Source organism: Homo sapiens, chromosome 2 (genome assembly GCF_000001405.40).
Source record: "Homo sapiens chromosome 2, GRCh38.p14 Primary Assembly".
In the NCBI taxonomy this organism is placed as follows: domain Eukaryota; kingdom Metazoa; phylum Chordata; class Mammalia; order Primates; family Hominidae; genus Homo; species Homo sapiens.
The window spans coordinates 157,714,164-157,720,503 of record NC_000002.12 but is presented as its reverse complement, the minus strand read 5'-3'; the positions used below and the strand labels follow the sequence as shown (position 1 = coordinate 157,720,503).

Sequence of the window (6,340 nt, the reverse complement as noted above, 5' to 3'; positions counted from 1 at the left end):
CATCATGGCCCCTCCTCTCCTCTCTGTCATTCAAGGATGAGTCAAGAAGAACAGAGAAAAGGAGACAAAAGTTACTACTCTCTTTATTTCTGTAAATAGTTTCTTTCTTTCTTCCCACAGGGTAAAATTATTCGCTTTAAAATAATGGGGCTCTCTGGCCGGGCGCGGTGGCTCACGCCTGTAATCCTAGCACTTTGGGAGGCCGAGGCAGGCGGATCACGAGGTCAGGAGATCGAGACATCCTGGCTAACACGGTGAAACCCCGTCTCTACTAAAAAATACAAAAAATTAGCCGGGCGTGGTGGCAGGCTCCTGTAGTCCCAGCTACTCGGGAGGCTGAGGCAGGAGAATGGCGTGAACCCGGGAGGCGGAGCTTGCAGTGAGCCGAGATCGCGCCTCTGCACTCCAGCCTGGATAACAGAACGAGACTCCGTCTCAAAATAAAAAATAAAATAAAAAAAATAATGGGGCTGTCCTTGGACAGATGCTAATTTGGGAAGGAAAGACTGGTAACCTGAGAAACACCTTGTATCATGCAAGAAAGTGATGTAATATATGTAAAAAGAAAAAGAAACTGATTTTGCTATTGGCTGGATGACATACGCATCCCCAATTGATATAATTGCCCCAAAGTTGAAGTATTTAGGAACTGAATAAATAGCTACCATATATCATTCCCCCATAGGCTGTTGACTCCTCTAGCTGGTGCTCATTTACCCTCATTCTAGGCTCAGCCTGGCCACTCCCAAGGCTAAGGTGTCAGTGCAGATTGAACTGTCCTCATTCGTTCACATACTTCATTTTTCTATAATCGTCTATGATGATCTACTAAGAGCCAAGCCTGTAGGAGGTACAGGAGACAAAAAACAAGAGGTATCCTTGCTGCTTTCAAAGGAGACAGCCATGCAAAAATGCAAAGGATACTCTCCGTGTATCAGGAGTCCTGAGCCAGGGGCTCTTTATTGCTTTGGCAAGGTATGTACAGCCTCTTTTGCCTGGGTACAGTCACTGAACTCTGCGCATGTTCCCTGTCACCAAGTCTGCCTTCATCTCTTGTCCTCACATTCCCTCACCTCACCACCACCATAATCAAGTTCTTACCTTAGAGCCCTGTCTTAAAGGTTACTATAGTATGATCATTGTGATTTAATGACTAATATTAATAAGCCATTTGATATATGCCAGCAGTCTCTAAGGGCTTACCATTAATTCATCCAATACCTCAACTCATTTAATTCTCACAACAACCCGATGAGAGACTATCTCCATTTGCAGATGAGGAAGTTGAGGTATACAGAATTTAGATAATCCTCATTCCTGCCTTGCAGCGACAGTCTCCTCTGGTTGTTGGAGTTTGGGGACATGCAGATTTCCATGTCTAAATGTATATTTCTTGTTCTGGAAGCACTCAGTGTCTGCCTAGAAGAACACTAGTTGCAAACAAGAAACTGTACCTTAGCTAGGTCCTGGTGTATATTTTATTACATCTGGGTTGTTTGTCTTTATTACACCTTGGTTCTTCTTCTAGAATGTGAGTCACTTGATAGCAAGAATCATTTGGGATGTACTTGATACCTAATAAATATTATTTTTTTTCTCCCTTCATAGTAGATACTGAATGAAGGTGTCATAAATGCTGCTGGACCTTCCTATAGTACCAGCGTTACTTGGCAGCTTTGTCTGGTTCAGCGCTCTTACATTTAAATGAATCAGGTAGGCTAAGGGTAAGACAAGAGGGAGTGGTGGGGCCTAAGACACACTGGAGAGTATATGTCTAATTAATGGAGGTAGCTGCTGTTCACTTCCAGCTAATTGCTGCCATGCAAAAATGATGACCCCATGTTGCCAAATTTTCTAGTTGTTCAAGATAAGTCAGGAATCTGGATTATTATGTAAAATTTGCCTATTTTTAAAAACACTGTGCTGATCCCAGAAAATCCAAGGTCCAATTTTTTTTTCTTTTTTTTCTTTTCTTTCTTTTTTTTTTTTTTGGAGACAGAGTCTCATTCTGTCACCCAGGCTGGAGTGCAATGGCACAGTCTCAGCTCACTGCAACCTCTGCCTCCTGGGTTCAAGCGATTCTCCTGCCTCAGCCTCCCGAGTAGCTGGAACTACAGGCATGTGCCACCACGCCCGCCTAATTTTTGTATTTTTAGTAGAGACAGGGTTTCACTATGTTGGCCAGGCTGGCCTCCAACTCCTGACCTCATGATCCACCTGCCTCAGCCTCCCAAAGTGCTGGGATTACAGGCGTGAGCCACCGCACCCAGCCCCGAGGTCCAAATTTTTTATATGAATTCCACATGTTTTACTTTGTAAGAAAGGTAAATCACAGTTCTGTTTTTTAGATGATTTGTTATATAAAGACACACAGACAAATTGAGCACTCAAAAATAGTAGTTTATGATGATATCCAGTAACAGACCAGATCAGATGAAGCAGTCATGAAGCCAGTAAATGGGATGCATTCAGATGAGTCAACTTACAGGCAAAGATTTCAAAAGGAGAGAGAATGAGGTAGAGAAAGATGGAGACCAATGAGAACAGCTCTGGAATGATGGGGAAAATCTAGAAAATCTCCACACTGCCCAAACAGGGCATTCTTTCATTAAAGTGGCTGTTCATAGGATATAGCTAAGAAAGTGTGATACTTTGTCATTGTGGTGTCAAAATGGCAGGGTGGCAACTTTTGGTGGTAACTTTATCTGTTTTCTAGTTAGAGGGAATGTCTTTGTTGAGTTGCTTCTTGGGGCATCTGCTGCTTTGTGGAAATGTTTTCTAGAAACTCCTTTCGCCTGCAATCACACCCGTAATCATGATTAATGTTTACTACAAGCCCATAACAGTACACAAGGTTTGAAAGAATAATTTTTCAAAAGGATGATTTTGAAAATATCATACATTCATATGAAATATGTTAAGATTGTTTTGGAGGATGACACCATCTTCAGGAGAATGAGAAGCATTTGCTGATTCTGTTTCTGCAACACCTGTTATGCACTAGTCATGGTCATAAGTAACTTTTCCTGAGGAACAACAGGTAAGAAGAAATAAAAGTTGTGCTGTCTATATTTTCAGAAATGTACAATTGGCTTGGGAAGAAAACACAGCCAGCCACAGGGGAGCAAGCTCAAAGAAGTTGCAAAACGAGAAGGAGATGAGAGAAATCAGAGAAGGAAGCAAGCATTCTGACTTTTGACTGAGAGTCTCTGCCAGTTTTGCCTCACATATGAACACTTATTTACTTTGCACACTATTGCAATCTGTAATATTGCAAAACATAAAGTCAAATATTCTTCCCTTGTTTTAATACTCAACAAGACCTCAGCCTTATTAGCTTTTACCAACTATTACGAAAACTTAATATGGCCTCCAAGTAACATCATTCTCAGACCATATTCCCAGTTGTGAATATTGTCCCTAGATTGGACCTAGGTTAAAACATTAGATGTTAGTATCAAAAAGGAGAATTATAACCAAATAAAAACCAGAAAGATCCCACATCTTAGAAATGAAGATGTTCATCTATATAAGCACATAGCTTTATAGTAAAATCTGTAGCTACCATACAGGAGATAAACTATAATGACTCTCTTTATATCTCTACCTATCTGTCTATATATTTGCTATAACGTATATTAAGATAAATAACTGACCAACATATAAATATATAAATGGGAATTTTAAATTCACTTTCACATCTAATTCACAAAAATACAAAATGAAAATTAATTTTATGCTTTACAAAGTTTATTGCCAATGGTATTTTTAAGACTGTAAACACCATTTGTAGTAAGCAGACTAATATCTTCCCTCAAAGATGTCCCCATTCTAATTGCCAGAACTGTTACATGGCAATATGTTAGGTTACATGGCATGGCAAAGGGAAATTAAGGGTCCAAATGGAATTAAGACTGCTAATCAGCTAAATTTATTTTATTTTTATTTATTTATTTATTTATTTTTTAATGATATGGAGTTTTGCTCTTGTTGCCCAGGCTGGAGTGCAATGGCACGATCTCAGCTCACTGCAACCTCCACCTCTTGGGTTCAAGCGATTCTCCTGACTCAGCCTCCCAAGTAGCTGGGATTACAGGCACGTGCCACCATGCCCAGCTAATTTTGTATTGTTAGTAGAGACTGGGTTTCTCAATGTTGGTCAGGCTGGTCTCGAACTCCCTACCCCAGGTGATCCGCCTGCCTCGGCCTCCCAAAGTGCTGGGATTACAGGCGTGAGCCACTGCACCTGGCCTAATCAGCTAAATTTAAAATAGGGGGATTATCCTGGATTATTCACAGGGACCGTATGGATCACAAAGGTCCTTAAAATTGGAAGGAGACAGAAGAGTCAGAGGGAGATCTGACTATGAAAGAAAGGCCTGGGAGATGCAATGTTTCCGGCTTTGTAGATGGAGGAAGCAGGTCTCTAGAGGTTGTAGTATGCAAGAAAACATCCTCTCCTAGAGCCTCCAGAAAGGACTGCAATGTTGCCAACACCTTGTTATTTTGCCCAACCTGTGCTGAGCTTCTGACCTACAGAATTGTAGGATAATAAGTTTGTGTTATTGTAAGTGAATAAATTTTTGATAGTTTGTTATGGCAGTGAGTAGAAAATTAATACACCTTAAAATTAGTCAGTTTTGTCAAATTAGACTTGTTTTCAAGTGTTAATAAAATTCACCTAAAACACAGTAGATTTCTGCTTCTGACTCTGAGAAAGTATTTAATAATAAAGTTCAAAATTAGCCTTTTGCCATAAATAGAAAACTGGACGAAATATATGAAAAGTCAGTTTTAAACATCAGACAGGACTGTGATGCTCTAAGGAAGGAAAACAAATGAAGTCAGCCTTATAATCGTACCCACTTCCTGCTGTAGAAAGCAGAACGTCAAATGAGGTAAGCCTTACAAATCAGGTAAGCCCACATGCACCATATTTCTATAATATATATTTCTATAATATAGAAATGGAGAAATCAAAATATGTTCACAATATTGCTGAGTTGAGGAGATTGGAGAAACCAAGGCAGCCAGAATTTGTGAGGCAACAATAATGGTGAAGAAGGAGCTATGCAGAGAAAGGGCACCAGAAATGTTTATAGGGATGCGCTTGAACCTTTGGGTAAATAACAATTTACACATGTTTAGGCTAAAACCCCAAGAGACTAGACAATAAAAACTGCTAAGGAATAAATGATCATAGGGCAGCTATAAGCCCAATAATTCCCTAAGCTTTGTTCACAACAACCAGAATGAAGAATCTTCATTGAATACATGAAACATTCCATAGACATTCCAAAAGGGTTAAACCCTAGTAGCAGGGCTAAATTAACCATAGAATAAAGGGTCTTGTGGGATTACTCTAAAGAATAAAAACAAGCATTCTAATTAGCAAACTGTTTCACAAATAAATATTCTTCAAGTCAGAGTTCAAAATTCTTTAAAGATCTCACACTCAGCAATGTAAAATTTACAAAGTCTAGCATAAAGTAAAAAATTACACATACAAAGAAACAGGAAAATGTGATCTGTTACCCAAGGAACAGGATAATATGATCCATTACCAAGAAAAAATCAGAAATCTATATAGACCACGAAATGGCAGAGATGATGGAATTATGAGGCACGGATGCTAAATCAGCTATTCTAAATATGTCTGATTTGTTTGTGAATTTAAAAGAAAAGGTGAACCTAATGAGAGAGGAAAGAACAAAATGAAACTTCTAAAGATGAAAACTACAATATATAAAATGAAAAATGTACAGGCTAGGATAGCAGCAGATTAGACAGTAAAAATAAAAGTCAGCAGACTTGAAGACATAACAATAAAATAACATGAGATGAAGTCCAGAGAGGAAAAAAATACTGGAGACCATGAAGAGAGCCTCAGTGATTTTGAAACAAGTAGTCTAACATACCTATCATTGATGTCCCAGAATGCAAGCAGGAGAAAGAAAATTATTTTAAGGAATAATGACTAAAAATTTTACAAATATATGAATGCTATATACATACATATCTAAGAAGCTCAAAAAACCCTAAGAAATCAAATGAACACAAAACCCAATAAACAGTAATAAAACCACACACCAACATGTGTCATAAGCAAATTGCTAAAATTCAGTGATAAGAGAGCATATTAAAAGTGGCTAGAGGCTGGGCGCTGTGGCTTATGCCTGTAATCCCAGCACTTTGGGAGGCCAAGGCAGGCAGATCACCTGAGGCTGGGAGTTCAAGGCTAGCCTGACCAACATGGAGAAACCCCATCTCTGCTAAAAATACAAAATTAGCTGGGCATGGTGGTGCATGCCTGTAATCCCAGCTACTCAGGAGGCTGAGT

At 39.3% G+C, this 6,340-nt stretch overlaps 1 long non-coding RNA gene across 1 annotated transcript; it reads left to right on the top strand.

Annotated features, from left to right (window-relative positions):
- Positions 1-396: 396 nt before the first annotated feature.
- On the top strand, positions 397-3,501 carry LOC124907898 (uncharacterized). Its single transcript, XR_007087270.1, has 2 exons — positions 397-1,713; positions 3,079-3,501. It is a non-coding gene; the product is annotated as an uncharacterized LOC124907898 (long non-coding RNA).
- Positions 3,502-6,340: the final 2,839 nt, after the last annotated feature.